The following is a 21,113-nucleotide window of genomic DNA, read 5'->3' as shown; positions in this document are numbered from 1 at the left end:
CACAACACCACTCCCCCACCCCCCACCTAGCAGCAGCCACACAACACACAGAAACCTGTGAATTTGGGAGAGGGAGAGCACAGTGACTGGAGGACTTTACATCAAACTCAGTGCTGCCATGTCAGTAAAGACCTGGCAGAATTCATCACCTGCTGACTAAAGAACCCCTGTACCCAGAATAAAAAAACAGTGACAACCAGGTAATACACCATGGGCATTGGGCTCTGAGAAGTGCTAAGTTCAGGTGTGACCCAGTACATTTCTAGCTGTGGTAGCTATGGTGAAAGACTTCTGTTTGAGAAAGGCAGGGGGGAAAGTAAAGGGAACTCTACATTGCACCTGGTATACCAGCTCAACCACAGTGGGGTAGATCACCAAGCAGATTCTTAGAGTCCCTGAGTCCAGGCCTAGGGTCTTCTTGGTCAGCATTTCTGCACTTGCCCTGGGCCAAAGGTCGAGTCCCAGGCATTGCAGAATTTATCACAAGCTAACTAAAGAGTCCTTGGGCTTTAAGTGAGAAAGTGATGATGATTTGGTGGAAACCCCCCATGGGCCAGTAGTGTTGGCAGTCATAGAAGAAGCTCTTCTGCCTGCAGAGAGGGTAAAGAAGAGTAGAAAATACTTTGTCTTATTCCCTAAGTGCCAGGTTAGCTACAATAAAATAGAAGAGCAGCTAAATTCTGAAGATTCTAAGCTTTAATCTCTGGCTCCCAGGTAGCATCTGTGGACCCACTCATGGCTAGGGGAACTTGCAACCCTATAGGCAGAGACACAAACTTGGCTGGCATTGCCAACTATTAATCACAGAGTCCTGGGGCTTTGAATAAACTTATATGGTAGCCAAGTAGTGGTTGCAGTGGGCTTTGGGTGAGACCAAGTTCTGTGCCTACTTCAGGTGTGAACCAGCACAGTCTCAGTGGTGGTTGCCACAGGAGTTCTTCTGTTGCCCCAACCCCAGCTCCACATGTCTCAGCACAGAAAGAGAGACTGCTGATTTGAGAGAAAGCAAGGGAAGAGAACAAGCTTCTCTACTTGATAAATCAGAACAATTTTTCTTGATATTAATCCAAGGCCACCAAGGCAGTACCTCTACGTGTTTGCATAAACTACTGTGCTATTGGGTTTGGGACCCAAGTTTCTTTGAATACCTGAAAAGTGTTCCCAAAGATAATGGACACTAACAAGCCCAGACTGTGAAGACTACAATAAAGACTGAATTCTTCAATGCCCAGATACAGATGAATATCTACAAGTATCAAGGCCATCCAGGAAAACATGACCTCACCAAACAAGCTAAATAAAGTACCAGGGACAAATCCTGGAAAAAGAAAGATATGTGACCTTTCATACAGGAAATCCAAAATAACTGGTTGAAGTAATTCAAAGAAATGTACAATATAACACAGAGAAGGAATTCAAAATTCTATCAGATAAATTTAACAATGAGATTGAAATAAAAAGAATAAAGTAGAAATTCTGAGGTTAAAATGCTATTGTCATACTGAAGAATGGATCGGAATTACTTAAAAGAATTGACCAAGGAGAAGATAGATTTAGTGAACTTGAAGCCAGACTATTTAAAAATACAAAGTCAGAGGAGACAAAAAGGAATAAAAAATAAAGCATGCCTATAGAATTTTAAAAATAGCCTCAAAATAGCAAATCTAAGAGTCATTGGCCTTAAAGAGGAGGTAGAAAAAGAGATGACTTGAACATTTATTTAAATAAATAATATTAAATAATATTAAACAATTCCTCAACATTTGATATCAACATTCGAGTAACAGAAAGTTACAGAACATAAAGCAGACTTAACCCAAAGAAGACCACCTCAAGGCACTAAACTGAACTCCCAAAGGTTAAGGATAAAGAAATGATTCTAAAAGCATCGAGAGAAGAGAAACAAATAACATTCAGCGGAACTCCAATACATCTGACAGCAGACTTTTCAGGGGAAAATTTACAGGCTGTGAGATTGGCATGACATATTAAAAAACTGAAGGAAAAAAAGACTTTTACTTTAGAATAATGTATCTGGCAAAAACGTCCTTTAAACTTGACGGAAAAATAAGAACTTTTTCCAACAAACAAAAACTGAGGGATTTCATTAACACCAGACCTGTCCTACAAGAAATGCTAAAGGGATATCTTAACCTAAAAGAAAACAAGTTAGTGAGCAATAAGAAATCATCTGAAGGTACAGAACTCACTAGCAATAGCACATGGAAAAACACTGAATATTACAATATGGTAATTATGGGGTGCAAAAATCTCAAATAGAGTAAACAATAAACCAATAAAAATAATAACTACAACAAATTTATTTCCAATACATAGACTGTAAAATAGGGGATGAAGAGAAACAACAAAAAGTTGAAAAGAATGGCAGTATAGGGTTTTTATTAGTTGTTTTGCTTGTTTCTTTTTTTATTATACCTTAAGTTATAGAGTACATGTGCACAATGTGCAGGTTTGTTACATATGTATACACGTGAGATGTTGGTGTGCTGCACCCATTAACTCGTCATTTAGCATCAGGTATATCTCCTAATGCTATCCCTCCCCCATCCCCCCACCCCTCAACCGTCCCTGGTGTGTGATGTTCCCCTTCCTGTGTCCACGTCTTCTCATTGTTCAATTCCCACCTATAAGTGAGAACATGCGGGTGTTTGTTTTTTTGTCTTTGTGTTAGTTTGCTGACAGTGATGGTTTCCAGCTTCCTCCATGTCCCTGCAAAGGACATGAACTCATCATTTTTTATGGCTGCATAGTATTCCATGGTGTATATGTGTCACATTTTCTTAATCCAGTCTATCATTGTCAGACATTTGTGTTGTTTCCCAGTCTTTGCTATTGTGAATAGTGCTGCAATAAACATACGTGTGCATGTGTCTTTATAGCAGCATGATTTATAGTCCTTTGGGTATATACCCAGTAATGGGATGGCTGGGTCAAACGGTATTTCTAGTTCTAGATCCCTGAGGAATCGCCACACTGACTTCCACAATGGTTGAACTAGTTTACAGTCCTACCAACAGTGTAAAAGTGTTCCTGTTTCTCCACATCCTCTCCAGCACCTGTTGTTTCCTGACTTTTTAGTGATCATCATTCTAACTGGTATGAGATGGTATCTCATTGTGGTTTTGATTTGCATTTCTCTGATGGCCAGTGATGATGAACATTTTTTCATATGTCTTTTGGCTGCATAAATGTCTTCTTTTGAGAAGTGTCTGTTCATATCCTTCACCCACTTTTTGATGGGGTTGTTTGGGTTTTTCTTGTAAATTTGTTTGTGTTCATTGTAGATTCTGGATATTAGCCCTTTGTCAGATGAGTAGATTGGAAAATTTTTCCCCCATTCTGTAGGTTGCCTATTCAATCTGATGGTAGTTTCTTTTGCTGTGCAGAAGCTCTTTAGTTTAATTAGATCCCATTTGTCAATTTTGGCTTTTGTTGCCATTGCTTTTTGTGTTTTAGACATGAAGTCCTTGCTGATGCCTATGTCCTGAATGGTATTGCCTAGGTTTTCTTCTAGGGTTTTTATGGTTTTAGGTCTAACATTTAAGTCTTTAATCCATCTTGAATTAATTTGTGTATAAGGTGTAAGGAAGGGATCCAGTTTCAGCTTTCTACATATGGCTAGCCAGTTTTCCCAGCATCATTTATTATGTAGGGAATCCTTTCCCCATTTTTTGTTTTTGTCAGGTTTGTCAAAGATCAGATAGTTGTAGATATGCAGCATTATTTCTGAGGGCTCTGTTCTGTTCCATTGGTCTATATCTCTGTTTTGGTACCAGTAACATGCTGTTTTGGTTACTGTAGCCTTGTAGTATAGTTTGAAGTCAGGTAGTGTGATGCCTCCAGCTTTGTTCTTTTGGCTTAGGATTGACTTGGCGATGTGGGCCCTTTTTTGTTCCATATGAACTTTAAAGTAGTTTTTTCCAATTCTGTGAAGAAAGTCATTGGTATCTTGATGGGGATGGCATTGAATCTATCAATTACTTTGGGCAGTATGGCCATTTTCATTATATTGATTCTTCCTACCCATGAGCATGGAATGTTCTTCCATTTGTTTGTATCCTCTTTTATTTCATTCAGCAGTGATTTGTAGTTCTCCTTGAAGAGGTCCTTCACATCCCTTGTAAGTTGGATTCCTAGGTATTTTATTGTCTCTGAAGCAATTGTGAATGGAAATTCACTCATGATTTGGCTCTCTGTTTGCCTGTTGTTGGTGTACAAGAATGCTTGTGATTTTTGTACATTGATTTTGTATCCTGAGACATTGCTGAAGTTGCTTATCAGTTTAAGGAGATTTTGGGCTGAGACGAAGGGGTTTTCTAGATATACGATCATGTCATCTGCAAATAGGGACAATTTAACTTCCTCTTTCCATAATTGAATACCCTTTATTATGACCACTATGAAGGAGTTTATGACCGCTAGGTTTGTTCTTCAAGAAATGCTAGAAAGTCCTTTGAGATTAAAAAATGAGAGTACCAAAAAAGCCATAGAATACTATAAAGCTCTGTTGTAAAGCAAATATATAGAGAAATATAGCATCCTATATTATTGTGATGTTGGTAAGTAATTTCAATCCCCTTATAGAATTTGACACCAATATACAAAAATATTTTATATGTATGTTAAAGAATACATCATGTAAAAAGGCCTAATTTGTGACATCAAGAACCACATGTGTGTTGGGAAAGACAGTCACGCAAAAGACTGGAGTTTTTATATGCTACTGAGATAACATCAGATTAAACTAGTTTGTTATAACTTTGAGACGTTTCATGTCATCTGTATAGTAATCACAAAGATAATACATGTAGAATGTATACAAAAGAAAAAGAAATAAAAACATATTAGTACAAAAATTAATTAGACAAAAAGGAAGACAGCAAGAAATAAAATATATAAACAAAAGAACTACAAAAGAAACACAATACAATTAACAAAATGGCAGTAGTAACTCCTTAACTGCAAATAATAACCTTATATGTAACAATGTTAAATTCTCCAATAACAGACAGAAGGTCACTGAAAAAATAAAAATATAAAATCAAATGAATTCTGTTTATAAATTGTTTATAAAAATAAAAATATAAAATCAAATAAATTATGTTTATTTAAGGATAAACATGGAATGAAAGTGCAGGGATGGAAAATTATATTCTATATGGTAACCAAATCATCCTAAATAGCAACCAAAATAGAACAAAGTGGGTCACATTTACATTAGATGATTAGACTTTAAGCAAAAAACTGTCATAAAGACAAACAAGGACATTATATAATAAAAATAAATCTCCAAGAAGATATCATAATTAAAATATGCACATGAATCAGCAACTATTCCAAACACATAACACAAATAATGACAGAATTAAAAGGAGAAATAGGCTGAGTACAGTGGCTCACGCCTGCTTGTAATCCCTGCATCTTGGCGGGGGCAGAGGCAGGAGGATGGCTTGAGCCCAGGAGTTGAGACTAACCTGGGCAAGACAGCAACACTTCGTCTGTGTAAAAAACAAAATTATAAATAAAAATAAAGGGAGGATTAGAGACCACCACCAAAATGATAGGAGACTTTAATAATGGAGAGGACAACCTGGGAGACCAAATGAAGACAGAGGATTGAGCAAGGAGTGATTCAACCAAATCCAACAGACTTTTAGAAACGGTCTTCTCAACAACAGAATGCGCATGATTCTGGTGCGCACATGGAACATTCTTGAGACTATATCACAAATCGGACCACAAAGAAATCAATTCAAGAAAATTAAAATCATACGAAGTATCATTTACAACTAAAATGGAATGGAACTAGAAGTGAATACCAGAAGAAAATTTTAAAAATTTGCAAATACATAAAAATCAAGTAACATGCTCCTAAACAACATTATGGGTTAAGGAAGAAATCACAGTGAAAATTTCAACATAACTGGAGACAAAGCATAACAAAATAATTGAATGCATCTAAAGCTTGTATTCAATTGTAGTAGTAAATGTGTGCATTTAAAAAAATCTATCTAAATCAACTAGGAAATGTAACCACACATCAGTAAAGAATAAGAATTTCAGCAGTTATAAATAAATAACAATTAAAAGCCATGGAAAAATCAATTAAAGTTTGGTTTTATTGAAAAGATTAAGAAAACCGACAAACAGATTAAAAGAAAAAAGAAGATACCTCAAATAATTAAATTCATAAATAAAAGAGGAGCTATTACTACTGATGCCACAAAAGTAGGAAAAGAAGAGACTATAAAAGTTTAATTCCAAGTATATGCCAAAAATATGATAAGCTAAGAGAAATAGACAAATGTCTAGAAATATAGATTATACTAAAAATAAACCATAAAAAAATCTGAATAGGCATATAAGTAGTAACAACAACCTCCCCTCAAAAAGCCCAGGCCCGGATCACTTCATTAAATACATATTTTTTTCAAAATGTTAAAGCAGGGTTAACACCAACCCTTCTTAAACTACTTCAGAAAAATGAAAAAGATAAAACAATTTCCAACTTATTTTATGAGCCCAGCATTAACACAACACCAAACCCCACAAAGACACTAAGGAGAAAAAAAAATACAACTACAAATCAATTTTCCTGTTGACTATTGATGTAAAAATTCTCCTCGGAACATTAGAACACCAAATTCAATAACATATTGCAAGGATTATACACGATGACGAAGAAGGAGTTATCTCTCCAATGAAAGTATTGTTCAGCACTTGTAAATCAATCTATTTGTTTTTTATTATACTTTAATTTCTAGGGTACATGTGGACAACATGCAGGTTTTTTACATAGGTTTACATGTGCCATGTTGTTTTGCTGCACCCATCAACTCATCATTTACATTAGATATTTCTCCTACTGCTATCTCTCCTCTAGCCCTCCAGCCCCTGACAGGCCCCATTGTGTGATGTTACCTGCCTTGTGTCCAAGTGTTCTCATTGGTAAATTCCCACCTATGAGTGAGAACATGTGGTGTTTGGTTATCTGTCCTTGTGATAGTTTGCTGAAAATGATGGTTTCTGGCTTCATCCAAGTCCCCGCAAAGGACAAAAACTCATCTGTTTTTATGGCTGTGTACTATTCCATGGTGTATACGTGCTGCATTTTCTTAATCAGTTCTATCATTGATGGACATTTGGGTTGGTTCCAAGTCTTTGCTATTGTGAATAGTGCTGCAATAAACATACGTGTGCATGTGTCTTTATAGTGGCATGATTTATAATCCTTTGGGTATATGCCCAGTAATGGAATTGCTGGGTCAGATGGTATTTCTAGTTCTAGATCCTGGAGGAATGGCCACACTGTCTTCCACAATGGTGGAACTAATTTGCAATCCCACCAACAGTGTAAAAGCCTTCCTATTTTTCCACATCCTCTCCAGCATCTGTTGTTTCCTGACTTTCAAATAATCACCATTCTAACTGGCGTGAGATTGTATCTCACTGTGGTTTTGATTTGCATTTCTCTGATGACCAGTGATGATGAGCTTTTCTCATGTGTCTGTTGGCTGCATAGATGTCTTCTTTTGAGAAGTGTCTGTCCATATCCTTTGCCCAATTTTTGATGGTGTTTTTTTCTTGTAAATTTGTTTAAGTTTTTTGGTTTTTTGTAGATTCTGGATATTAGCCCTTTGTCAGATGGATAGATTGCCAACAATTTTCTCCCATTCTGTAGGTTGTCTATTCATGCTGTTGGTAGTTTCCCTTACTGTGCAGAAGCGCTTTAATTTAATTAGATCTGATTTGTCTATTCTGGCTTTTGTTGCCATTGCTTTTGGTATTTTAGTCATGAAATCTTTGTCCATGCCTATGACCTGAATGATGTAGCCTAGGATTTCTTCTAGGGTTTTTATGGTTTTAGGCCTAACATTTAAGTCTTTAATCCCTGTTGAATTAATTTGTGTATAAGGTGTAAGGAAGGGATCCAGTTTCAGCTTTCTACCTATGGCTAGCCAGTTTTCCCAGCACCATTTATTAAATAGGGAATCCTTTCTCCATTGCTTGTTTTTGTCAGGTTTTTCAAAGATCAGATGGTTGTAGATGTGTGGTGTTATTTCTGAGGCCTCTGTTCTGTTCCATTTGTCTATAGATCTGTTTTGATATCAGTACCATGCTGTTTGGTTACTGTAGCCTTGTAGTATAGATTGAATTCAGATAGTGTGATGCCTCCGACTTTGTTCTTTTTGCTTAGGTTGTCTTGGCGTTATGGGCTCTTTTTTGGTTCCATATGAACTTTAAAGTAGTATTTTCTAATTCTGTGAAGAAAGTCATTTGTAGCTTGATGGGGATGGCATTCAATCTGTAAATTTCCTAGGGCAGTATGACCATTTTCACAATATTGGTTATTTCTATCCATGAGCATGGAATTTTCTTCCATTTGTTTGTGTCCTCTTTTATTTCATTGAGCAGTGATTTGTAGTTTTCCTTGAAGAGGTCCTTCACATCCCTTGTAAGATGTATTCCAAGGTATTTTATTATCTTTGTAACAATTTTCAATGGGAGCTCACTCATGATTTGGCTCTCTGTTTGTCTGTTATTGGTGTATAGAAATTCTTGTGATTTTTGCATATTGATTTCTTATCCTGAGACTTTGCTAAAGTTGCTTATCAGCTTAAGGAGATTTTGGGCTGAGACGATGGGGTTTTGTAAATATACAATCATGTCATCTGCAAACAGAGATAATTTGACTTCCTAATTGAATACCTTTGTTTCTTTCTCTTGCCTGATTGCCCTGGCCAGGATTTCCAACACTATTTTGAATAGGAGAGGTGAGAGACGGCATTCTTGTCTCGTGTCAGTTTTGAAAGGGAATGGTTCCAGTTTTACTGATTTAGTATGATATTGGCTGTGGGTTTGTCATAAATAGCTGTTATTATTTTGAGATACATTTCATCAATATGTAGTTTATTGAGAGTTTTTAGCAGGAAAGACTGTTGAATTTTGTCAAAGGCCTTTTCTATATCTATGGAGATAGTCATGTGGTTTTTGTCATTGATTCTGTTTATATGATGGATTACATTTATTAATTTGTGTATGTTGTACCAGCCTTGCATTCCAGGGATGAAGACTACTTGATCGTGGTGGATAAGCTTTTTGATGTGCTGCTGGATTCCATTTGCCAGTATTTTATTGAGGATTTTCACATCGATGTTCATCAAGGATATTGGTCTAAAATTCTCTTTTTTTGTTTTGTCTCTGCCAGGGTTTGGTATCAGGATGATACTGGTCCCATAAAATGAATTAGGGAGGATTTCCTCTTTTTCTATTGATTGGAATAGTTTCAGAAGGAATGGTACCAGCTCCTTTTTGTACCTCTGGTAGGATTCAGCTGTGAATCCATCTGGTCCTGGATTTTTTTTTGTTGGTATGCTATTAATTATTGCCTCAATGTTCAGAGCCTGTTATTGTTCTATTCAGAGATTCAACTTCTTCCTGGTTTAATCTTGAGAGGGTGTATGTGTCCAGGAATTTATCCATTTCTTCTAGATTTTCTAGTTTATTTGTGTAGAGGAGTTTATAGTATTCTCTGATGGTAGTTTGTATTTCTGTGGGATCAGTGATGATATACCATTTATCATTTTTTATTGTGTCTATTTGATTCTTGTCTTTTTTCTTCTTTATTAGTCTTGCTAGTGGTCTATCAATTTTGTTGATCTTTTCAAAAAATCAGCTCCTAAATTCATTGATTTTTTAAGTTTTTTTTGTGTCTCTATCTCCTTTAGTTCTGCTCTGATCTTTCTTGCCTTTTGCTTGTTTTTGAATTTGTTTGCTCCTGTTTCTCTAGTTCTTTTAATTGTGATGTGGGGCTGTCGATTTTAGATCTTTCCTCCTTTCTCTTGTGGGCATTTAGTGCTATAAATTTCCCTCTACACACTGCTTTAGATGTGTCCCAGAGATTCTGGTGTTTTTTGTCTTTGTTCTCACTGGTTTCAGAGAACATCTTTATTTTTGCCTTCATTTCGTTATTTGCCCAGTAGCCATTCAGGAGCAGATTGTTCTGTTTCCATGTGTTTGTGCCATTTTGAGTGAGTTTCTTAATTCTAAGTTCTAATTTGATTGCACTGTGATCTGAGAGACAGTTTGTTGTGATGTCTGTTCTTTTACTTTTGATGAGGAGTGCTTACTTCCAATTATGTGATCAATTTTAGAATAAGTGTGATGTGGTGCTGAGAAGAATGTTTATTCTGGTGATATGGGGTGGAGAATTCTGTAAATTTCTATTAGGTCCACTTGGCACAGAGCTGAGTTCAAGTCCTGGATATCCTTGTTAACCTTCTGTCTTGTTGATCTGTCTAATATTGACAGTGGAGTGTTAAAGTCTCCCATTATTATTGTGTGGGAGTCTAAGTCTGTTTGTAGGTATCTAAGGACTTACTTTACGAATCTGGGTGCTCCTGTATTGAGTGCATATATATTTAGGGTAGTTAGCGCTTCTTACTGAATTGATCCTTTTACCATTATGTAATGGCCTTCTTTGTGTCTTTTGATCTTTGTTGGCCATTTACATTTAAGGTCAATACTGTTATGGTGAACTTGATCCTGTCATTGTTATGTTAGCTCACTGTTTTTCCTGTTTATTGATGCAGCTTCTTCATAGTATTGATGGTCTTTAAAATTTGGCATATTTTTTGCAGTGGCTGGTACCGGTAGTTCCTTTCCATGCTTAGTGCTTCCTTCAAGAGATCTTTTAAGGCAGGCCAGGTGGTCTCAAAATCTCTCAGCATTTGCTTGTCTGTAAAGGATTTTATTTCTCCCTCACTTATGAAGCTTAGTTTAGCTGGATATGAAATTCTGGGCTGAAAATTCTTATCTTTAAGAATGTTGAATATTGACCCCCACTCTCTTCTGGCTTCTAGGGTTTCTGTTGAGAGATCTGCTGTTAGTCTGATGGGTTTCCCCTTGTGGGTAACCCGACCTTTCTCTCTGGCTGCCCTTAACATTTTTTCCTTCATTTCAACCCTGGTGAATCTGAAAATTAGTATCTTGGGGTTGCTCTTATCCAGAAGTAACTTTGTGGTGTTGTCTGTATTTCCTGAATTTGAATGCTGGCCTGCCTTGCTACATTGGGAAAATTCTCCTGAATAACATCCTAAGGAGTGTTTTCCAACTTGGTTCCATTCTCTCTGTCACATTTAGGTACACCAAGCAAACGTAGATTTGGTCTTTTCACATAGTCCCATTTTTCCTGGAGGCTTTGTTCATTTCTTTTCACTCTTTTTACTCTAAACTTGTCTTCTCACTTTATTTTATTAATTTGATCTTCGATCACTGATATCCTTTCTTCCACTGGAGTGAGTCAGCTATTGAAGCTTGTGCATGTGTCACAAAGTTCTTGTACCATGGTTATCAGCTCCATAAGGTCATTTAAGGTATTCTCTACACTGTTTATTCTAGTTAGCCATTGTCTGACCTTTTTTCAAGGTTTTTAGCTTCCTTGCGATGTGCTCAAACATGCTCTTTTAGCTTGGAGAAGTTTGTTATTACCAGCCTTCTGAAGCCTCCTTCTGTCAACTCGTCAAAGTCACTCTCCCTCCAGCTTTGTTCCATTGCTGGTGAGGAGCTGCAATCCTTTGGAAGAAAAGAGGTGCTCTGGTTTTTAGGATTTTCAGCTTTTCTGCTCTGGTTTCTTCCCATCTTTGTGGTTTTATCTACCTTTGGTATCTGATGTTGGTAACTTACAGATGGGGTTTTGGTGTGGATGTCCTTTTTGTTTATGTTGATGCTATTCCTTTCTGTTTGTTAGTTTTCCTTCTAACAGTCAGGTCCCTCAGCTGCAGGTCTGTTGGAGTTTGCTGGAGGTCCACTCCAGACCCTGTTTGCCTGGGTATCAACAGAGAAGGCTGCAGAACAGCAAATATTGCTGCTTGATCCTTCCCTGGAAGCTTCGTTGAAGAGGGTCTCCCACCTGTATGAGGTGTCTGTTGGCCCTTACTATGAGGTGTCTCCCAGTTAGGCTACACGGGGTTCAGGGACCCATTTGAGGAGGCAGTATGTCCATTCTCAGAGCACAAACACCATGCCAGGAGAACCACTGCTCTCTTCAGAGCTGTCAGATGGGAGGTTTAAGTCTGCAGAAGTTTCTGCTGCCTTTTATTCAGCTATGCCCTGCCCGCAGAGGTGGAGTTTATAAAGGCAGTAGGCCTTGCTGAGCTGTGAGTGACTCTACCCTGTTCAAGCTTCCTGGCCACTTTGTTTACCTACTCAAACCTCAAAAATTGTGGATTCACCTCCATCTGCTCAGCTGCAGCATGAAGGTTAATCTCAGACCGCTGCACTGGCAGTAAGCAAGGCTCTATGGGTGTAGGACCCAATGAATCAGGCACAGGAGAGAATCTCCTGGTCTGCCAGTTGCTAAGACTGTGCGAAAAGTGCAGTATTTGGGCAAGAGTGTCCTGTTTTTCCAGGTACAGTCTGTCATGCCTTCCCTTGGCTAGGAAAGGAAAATCCCCCAACCCCTTGCACTTCCTGGGTGAGTTGATGCCCTGCCCTGCTTCAGCTCACCCTCCATGGGATGAACTCACTGTCCAATCAGTCCCAATGAGATGAATCAGGTAGCTCAGTTGGAAATGCAGAAATCACCCATCTTGCATTGATCACACTAGGAGCTGCAGACCAGAGCTCTTCCTATTTGGCCATATTGGAATGAGAGTTTAAATCAATCAATTTAATATATCATATTAACAGAGTAAAAGATATAAACCACACAATCATCTCAAATAATGCAGAAAAGTCAACTGACAGTATTAATCATCTTTTCAAGATAAAAAAACAATAAACTAGAAATAAAAGGAAACTAACATAGCAAAAGATATGTAAATAACTCATCACCAACTGGGTTCAACAGCTTATGCCTATAGTCCAAGCAGTTTGGGTGGCTGAGGTGGGTGGATGATTTTAGGTCAGGAGTTCCAGACCAGCCTGACCAACATGGCGAATCCCTGTCTCTACAAAAAATATTAACATTAGCTTGACGTTGTGGTGTGTGCCTGTAGTCCCAGCTACCAGGGAGGCTGAGGCATGAGAATAGCTTGAACTCGGGAGGTGGAGGTTGCAGTGAGCCCAGATCATGCCACTGCACTCCAGCCTGGTTGACAGAGCAAGATCCTATCTCAGAAAAACAAAAACAACAACAAAAACAAAAAAACAAAAACAATCATCACTAATATTATACTGAATTCTGAAGTGTGGAAAGTTTATCCTCTAAGATTAATAATAAGGCAAGATATTCACGGTTGCCACATCTATTCAAAAATAGCAGTGAAAGTCCTGGCAAAACAACTAGGCAATGAAAAAAAGAAAAGATCCACATTCTAAAGGAAGAAGTAAAATTACCTGTTACTTATGATATGATGTTATATACAAAAAAATCCTATACACTGAAAACAATACCTGTTAGAACTAATAGTTGCATTTAGGAAAATTGCAGAATACAAAATTAAGTGTATTTCTCTTCATTACACGGTACAATCCAAGTTTTTAAAATTCCATTGAAAATAGCATTAAGAAGAATATACTTTGGAATAAACAAGCAAAGAGATGTAAGACTAGTATACTAGAAGTTACAAGATGTTGCTGAAGAAAAGTCACAAACAATGGAGAAGATATTCTATATTTATAGATTAGACAATTGAAAAGATATCCCATATTCATAAATTAGAAAACAATATTCTTAAGTCTATACTAATGAAATCAACAACAGATTAAATGCAATAGCTTTATAAATCATAACAATATTTACTTGCAGAAATAAAAAATTCTAAAACATATGAAATCTCAAGATTTAAAATAGCCAATTAAACTTGTAAAATAATGTCAATTGTGGAGCCCTCACAATTTTTAAATCAAAAACTAATTGCAGTGCTGTTGAACTCTTTTCAAATGTGGTATTTTGAGGCCAGGTTCTATGGCTTACACGTGTAACCTCAGCACTTTGTGAGGCTGAGGTAGGAGGATTGCTTGAACCCAGGAGTTCAAACCACACTGGACATCCTAGTGAGAACATCCATCGCTAAAAAAAAAAAAAAATTAAAATTAAAATTAACCTGGCAATGTGACATGAACCTGTAGTCTCAGCTATTCCAGAGGCTGAAGTGAGAGGATTTTTTTAAGCCTGGGAGAGCAAGGCTGCAGTGAGCCATGGTCGCACCAGTGCACCCCAGCCTAGATGACAGAGAACCTGTCTCAAAAAGTAAAAAGGAGAAAATCTAAAAAGAAATGTATTAAATCAAGACGTGTAGACATAGAAAATAATAGAGACCCCTCTCTCCACAAAACCTTGTATATATGGTCAAAATGATCTTCAACAAGGGTGCAAAGGCCAAACTATGGAGAGGGAATAATAGCCCCCTTTAACACAAAAACGGTATGAAGATTTGCTATCAACATGTAAAATATAGAAGTCAGAATTGTAGATTATACTATATTTTTTTAAAAACTCAAAATGTTTAAGTCTGAAAGTCTTACACAAAAATATAAGGGAAAAATATCCAAAATTATGCCATGGAATTTGGCAATGGGTTCTTGACTGCCAGCAGCCCCACATCCCTGGAGCATCCATCCGCTCACCGCTGCCTGGTGCTGGGTCCTTCCACACCTGTCACACTGCTTTGTGCGGGGCCCTGAGGGGCACGAGCCAGGACACCAGGCCGAGCACAGGGCACAGGCCGGGCGTTCTCCGGCTATTCGAGGGCAGGCTGTCCCCATGACAGCCTCAGGCGCAGGAGGGATGACGGCCTGATTCGAGTCTGTGGAAGGAGGAAGAAGCTCGTTTCCTGAGCCAGCAGGGACACAGAGGCCAATGCGGGACACAGGGACACAGGGGTGGATGCCATAAAAATATATGGCATATATTTTGAAACATGGCCGCAATTTGAATAATTAGAGTGTTATGCTGAAACTGCACCAAAATTTATCATTCCAGTGACTACAGGGAATTTTTAATAGTTGTTATTTTTATAATAAAATTAAACTTTAATGAAATAACTGACTTTCAAACTTCAGCAAGAGGACAAATATTCAGCCAGAGGTATCAGTTCCCGGTTTCTGCTTCGGGTCCTCTCTGGTCTCCCACAGCCCCTCCTGCATCACCCAGGTCTAAGGGGCCACCTGGCCTGGCCTGTGTTCCCTCGTCCCTCCCCTTCCCCACCCAGATCCTGCAGCGCCTTCCTGGGGCAGGGGCGGCGAACCGTCCAGAGCGGGAGGCTCCCTCGCCCAGGGCAGCACAGCTCCGCCCCTCTCCACACCTGCCCAGCCCCTGGCAAAGGAGTCGCCTGGGCCTGGCCCGCTGCCCGCCCCCCAATGCCTGCCCTGTGCCTGCAACTGCGACGCTGCCAACAAGAGGTGCCAGAGACCGCGGCGCAACCCGCCCAGAGAGCAGGGTCCCACTCAACTGGGAGCGGGGGCACGTCCCTTCCGGTAGGCGATGGAGTTAAGATTGTTTCCTTATTTATTTTACTTAAAACTGGTAGAATGTCACTATTATATGAAGTATCCATGACTCTCTCAGTAAATTTGAGCAAATGTTTATTAGTTTTTGTCAGTTTAACTAGTTCTTTTGTGTCTATTATTAAGGTGAAATTTAACTTCTATCTGAAATCAGTAAGATACAGAGAGATTTTAATGACAAGTGAATATTTTTTTCTCAGGGGGAACTGAATTATGAATTGAATGAATGAATTATGAATTAAATGAATGAATTCATTAGCAAAGTAGAGAGGACACTAACCAATCGGTAGTTTTAATCAATCTGTATTCCCTCCCCCCTCCCTCTTTGTTTTTTGTTTGTTTGTTTGTTTTTGAGACAGAGTTTTGCTCCGTCGCCCAGGCTGGAGTGATGTGGCGCGATCTTGGCTCACTACAACCTCCGCCCCCCGGGTTCAAGCGACTCTCCGCCTCAGACCCCCGAGTAGCTGGGATTACAGGCGCCAGCCACCATGCCCAGTTAATTTTTGTGTTTTCATTAGAGGCGGGGTTTCACCACGTTGGCCAGGCTGGTCTCAAACTCCTGACCTCGGGTGATCCGCTCACCTTGGCCTCTCAAAGTGTTGGGATTATGGGCGTGAGCCACCAGTCCCGGCCCCTCCCACCCCTCTGTATTATGACCCTGTGTACCCAGCATTTAGCTCCCACTTATGAAAGAGAACATGCGGTATTTTGTTTTTTGCTTTTGCATTAGTTTGCTGGAAACAATGCATTCATGTTGCCTCAAATGGCATAATTTTGAGTTTTTTCTGGCTGTATAGTATTCCATGAGTCTTTATCCAGACCACCACTGATGGATGTCTGGATTAAGCCTATGTCTTTGTGATTGTGAATACTGCTGTGATAAAACTATAGCTACATGTGTCTTTTTGATAGAATATTTATTTTATTTCGGGTATATACCCAGTAATGGGGTTACTGGATTGAATGGTAGATCAACTCTCAGTTCTTTAAGAAATCCCCAACCTGCTTTCCACAGTGGCTGAACTAATTTACATTCCTTCAGAAAGTGTATAAGTGTTCTCTATTCTCTAAATCTTCACCGATATGTGTTTTTCTTTTGACTTTTCAGAAAAAGCCATTCTGACCGGTGTGAAATGGTATTTCATTTCGGTTTTGATTTGCATTTCTCTAATAAATAATGACGATGAGCACTTTTACATATGTTTGTTGGGTGCTTGTGTGTATGTCTTCTTTTGAAAAGTGTCCGTTCATGTCCTGTTGCCCACTTTTTAATGGAGTTACTTGCTGCTTGCTTGTTGATTTGTTTAAGTTCCTTATAGGTTCTGCATAATAGACCTCTGTTAGATGCGTAGTTTGTGAATATTTTCTTTCATTCTGTGGATTATCTCTTTACTACCTTGATAGTTTCTCTTGTTGTGCAAAAGTTTTTCAGTTTAATTAAATCCCACTTGTCATTTTTTGTTTTAGTTGCAATTGCTTTTGAGGACTTAGCCATAAATTATTTGCCAAGGCCGTTATCAAGAAAAGTATTTCCTAGGTTTTTTCTAGGCGTTTTATAGCTTGAGATTTTTCATTTAACTCTTTAATCCATCTTAAGCTAATTTTTGTATTTGGTGGAATATGGGGGTCTAGTTTTATTCTTCTGCATATGACTAGCCAGTTATCCCCGCATTATTTATTAAATAAAGTCTTTTTCCCATTGCTTACTTTTGTCAACTTTGTTAAAGATGTGATGGTTGCAGGCATGTGGCCTTAGTTTCTAGTACTCTAGTCTGTTCCATTGGTCTATGTGTCTGTTTTCCTACCAGTATCATGTTGTTTTGATTACTATAGTCTTCTAGTATAGTTTGAAGTCATGTAATATGATGTCTCTAGCCTATGTCTCTAGCCTTAGTATTGCTTTGGCTTGGCTATTCAGACTCCTTTTAGGTTCCATATAAATTTTAGATGTTTTCTATTTTGTGCAAAATGACATTAGTAGTTTGATAGGAAAAGCATTAAATCTGTAAATCGCTTTGAGCAGTATACTCATCTGCACGCAGATGATACTCCAGTATATGTTCTGTGGTTGATGAGTGAAGTGTATTGTAATTCCAATTGGTCAAGCCAGACCCTGCCCCCGCCCGGCTCCTCCTATGCCAGAGCTCCACACCTCTAGCCAAGGGCCCTCTGCAGCCATGGGGGATAGGGCTGAGGGCCGGTTCCCGCCCCCGTGCAGCTGCTGCAGGGCAGACTGCCTGGCTTGGCCGCAGCCACAGGGACATCTGGCCCTCGTTCCGAGATGTGGGAAGTGAGGGCGGACTGGGGAGTTGCCTGGAGGTTGCTGCCTGCACACAGAAGGCGGCTGCAGCTTGGGAGCCCAGGCGGGCTGGAGGTGCATGGCCTGGTCGGCCTCGGGATCGCCAGCGCGCCCAGCCTGAGGGCCCCCAGGCTGTGCCTCCCGCCCAGTCCTCCACCTGAGGGAGATCGGGGCCGTTGGTATGGGCCCTCAGCAGTCACCCCGTGTGGGGTTGAGCGGCGGCTTCTCAGTTCTCGCTCCTGTGCAGCCGCCGCCGCCGGTCAGAATGCCACTGGGACACCTGGCCCTGGTTCTGCGATGCTGACAGCGCGAGCGAGCTCGGGGGTTGCCAGGCAGCTGCTGCCTGCACACAGAGGGCGACTGCAGCTTGGGCGCCCAGTCGGCGGAGCATGGTCTGGGTGGCCTCTGGAATGCGTGCGCTCGAGGCCTGAGGGACCCGCTGTTGGTGCCACCTGCCCTGCTCTGCGCCTCTCCGCGCCTGGGCCCCCTCCGCGCCTGCGCCCCCTCCGCGCCTGCGCCGGCGCTCTGGGCCTCTCTGCCTTTGCGAAGGGCGCTCTGCCTTTGCTAGGGCAGAGCTGCCTTCTCCTCAGCACAGACCAGGAGAGCATCGCGAGGGCGGAGCTGAGTTCTCCTCTGCACAGACTTCGGAGATACAGCGAAGGCGGAGCAGTGTTTGCCTCAGCACAGACCCAGGCGGGCGGGCCGGGGGTACCGCGAGGGCGGAGCTGCGTTCTGCTCAGCACACACCCGGGGGACACCGCGAAGGCAGAGCAGCGTTCTCGTCAGCACAGACCTTGGGGGCACTGCCTCGCTTTGGGACAACTCGGGGCCGCATCAACGGTGAATAAAATCCTTCCTGTTTGTAGCCCTGAATAATCAGGGTCAGAGACCAGTTAGAAGGGTTCAGTGTGGAAAACGGGAAACCAAAAGCCCCTCTGAATCCTGCCCACCGAGGTTCTCCTCAGCCAAGGCGAGGCGGCCGCAGTGCGAGATCCACACTGCAGCCTCGGAAGACAAATGCGGCATTCCTAATGCAGACATGACACCCAAAGTATGACACCCCCATTGCTCATGTAACAAGCACCTGTAATGCTAATGCGCTGCCTCAATACAAAAATATTAATATAAGATCCGCAATCCCCTCGCTGCCGTGCAGTCCAAAGACAGCCATCATAATAATCAACATTGACATAGTCAATACAAACTTAGTAACGAACCTAGGGTTAAGGTTGGTGTTAGGGTTAGGGGTTAGGGGTTAAGTTTAGGGTTAGAGGTTGGAGATAGGGATTGGGGTCAGAGTTAGGGGTTAGGAGTCAACGTTTAGAGTTAGGGTTTAAGAGATGTTAGGGGTTAGGGATTAGGGGTTAGGGCTGGGTTAGGGTGAGGGTTGGGGTTAGGGATAGTGGTTAGGGTTTGTGTCAGGGGTTAGGGGTCAGGGTCAGTGGTTAGGGGTCAGGGTCAGGGGTCAGGGTCAGGGGTCCCACTCTGCGATTTGTCTATTTACTCTGCTGACTGTTCCCTTTGCCATGCAAAAGCTCTTTAGTTTAATTAAGTCCCAGCTATTTATCTTTGTTTTTATTGCATTTGCATTTGGGTTCTTGGTCATGAAATCCTTGCCTATGCCAATGTCTAGAAGGGTTTATCCAGTGTTATCTTCTAGAATTTTTACAGTTCAGGAATTAGGTTTAAGTTCTTAATCCATCTTGAGTAGATTTTTGTATAAGGTGAGAGATGAGAATCCAGTTTTATTCCCCTACATGTGGCTCGCCAATTATCCCAACTTCATGTGTTGAAAAGGGTGTCCTTTCCCCACTTTATGTTTTTGTTTGCTTTGTCAAAGATCAGTTGGCTGTAAGTATTTGGGTTAATTTCTGAGTTCTCTCTTCTGTTCCATTGGTCTATGTGTCTATTTTTAAACCAGTACCATGCTGTTCTGGTAACTATGGCCTTATTGTACAGTTTGAAATCAAGTAGTGTGATGCGTCCAGGCTTGTTCTTTTTGCTTACCCTTGGTTTGGCTACATGGCACTCTTTTGGTTCCATATTAATTTTAGAATTGTTTTTGTAATTCTGTGAGGGATGATGGTGGTATTCAGATGGGGATTGCACTGAATTCGTAGATTGCCTTTAACAGAATGGTAATTTTCACAATATTGGTTCTACCCATCCATGAGCATGGGGATGTGTTTCCATTTGTTTGTGTCATCTATGATTTCTTTTCTTTCTTTTCTTTTTTTTTTTTTTTTTTTTTGAGAGGTAGTTTCGCTCTTGTCGCTGAGGTGGGAGTGCAATGGTGTGATCTCAGCTCACTACAACTTCTGCCTCCCGGGTTCAAGCGATTCTCCTGCCTCAGTTTCTCGAGTAGCTGGGATTATAGGCATGCACCAACGTGCTTGGCTCCATCTATGATTTCTTTCAGCAGTGTTTTGTAATTTTCATTGTAGAGGTCTTTTGATTACTTTGCTAGGTATATTCCTAAGTTTTGTTTTTTTTTTTTTTGTTTGTTTTTTGCAGCTATTGTAAAAGGGGTTGAGTTCTTGATGTGATTCTCAGCTTGGTAGCTGTTGATGTATAGAAGAGCTACTGATTTGTGTACATTAATCTCGTATCTGGAAACTTTGCTGAATTCTTTTATCAGTTCTAGGAGCTTTCTAGAGGAGTCCGTAGGGTTTTCAAGGTGAAAGATCATATCGTCAGCAACCAGTAACAGTTTGACTTCCTCTTCACCGATTTGGATTTCCTCTATTTCCTTCTTTTGTCTGATTGCTCTGGCTAGGACCTCCAGTACTATGTTGAAAAGGAGTGGTTAGAGTAGGCTCTTCGTCTTGTTCCAGTTCTCAAAGGGAATGCTTTCACCTTTTCCCCATTCAGTATTATGTTGGCTGTGGGTCTGTCATAGATGGCTTTTATTACATTAAGGTATGTCCCTTGTATGCCTATTTTGCTGAGAGCTTTAATCATAAAGCAATGCTAGATTTTGTCAAATGCTTTTTCTGCATCTGTTGATAAAATCATGTGAGTTTTTTTTTAAATTCTGTTTATTTGGTGTATCACATTTATTGACTTGCATATGTTAAACCATTCCTGTGTCACTGGTATGAAACCCACTTGATCATGGTGGATTATCTTTTTGATATGTTGTTGGATTCAGTTAGATAGTATTTTGTTAAGGATTTTGGCATCTGTGTTCATCATGGATATTGGTCTGTAGTTTTCTTTTTTGGTTATGTCCTTTCATGGTTTTGGTATTAGGGTGATGCTGGCTTCATAGAAAGAAGGGAGTGTTTCTTCTTTCTCTGTCTTGTGCAATAGTGTGAAAGGATTGGTATCATTTCTTCTCTGA

General features: G+C 40.1%; 1 pseudogene, besides 5 other annotated features; it reads right to left on the bottom strand.

Annotated features, from left to right (window-relative positions):
• Positions 14,790-15,289: an enhancer, noted in NCBI's record as "H3K4me1 hESC enhancer chr9:68380397-68380896 (GRCh37/hg19 assembly coordinates)". NCBI's record gives its function as "activates a minimal SCP1, AML or CMV promoter by ChIP-STARR-seq in naive H9 embryonic stem cells {active_cell/tissue: H9 hESC(naive)}" and the evidence as "EXISTENCE:reporter gene assay evidence [ECO:0000049][PMID:30033119]".
• Positions 14,790-15,791: a biological region, named in NCBI's record as "H3K4me1 hESC enhancers GRCh37_chr9:68379895-68380396 and GRCh37_chr9:68380397-68380896".
• Positions 15,204-15,522: a silencer, noted in NCBI's record as "fragment chr9:68380164-68380482 (GRCh37/hg19 assembly coordinates)". NCBI's record gives its function as "represses an EF-1alpha promoter that drives an FKBP-Casp9 reporter gene in an ReSE screen in HepG2 liver carcinoma cells {active_cell/tissue: HepG2}" and the evidence as "EXISTENCE:reporter gene assay evidence [ECO:0000049][PMID:32094911]".
• Positions 15,290-15,791: an enhancer, noted in NCBI's record as "H3K4me1 hESC enhancer chr9:68379895-68380396 (GRCh37/hg19 assembly coordinates)". NCBI's record gives its function as "activates a minimal SCP1, AML or CMV promoter by ChIP-STARR-seq in naive H9 embryonic stem cells {active_cell/tissue: H9 hESC(naive)}" and the evidence as "EXISTENCE:reporter gene assay evidence [ECO:0000049][PMID:30033119]".
• On the bottom strand, positions 17,573-18,240 carry LOC107987021 (translation initiation factor IF-2-like; annotated as a pseudogene).
• Positions 17,936-18,437: an enhancer, noted in NCBI's record as "H3K4me1 hESC enhancer chr9:68377249-68377750 (GRCh37/hg19 assembly coordinates)". NCBI's record gives its function as "activates a minimal SCP1, AML or CMV promoter by ChIP-STARR-seq in naive H9 embryonic stem cells {active_cell/tissue: H9 hESC(naive)}" and the evidence as "EXISTENCE:reporter gene assay evidence [ECO:0000049][PMID:30033119]".

Source organism: Homo sapiens, chromosome 9 (assembly GCF_000001405.40).
Source record: "Homo sapiens chromosome 9, GRCh38.p14 Primary Assembly".
Classification (NCBI taxonomy): domain Eukaryota; kingdom Metazoa; phylum Chordata; class Mammalia; order Primates; family Hominidae; genus Homo; species Homo sapiens.
This window is presented reverse-complemented; position numbering and strand designations above follow the sequence as displayed.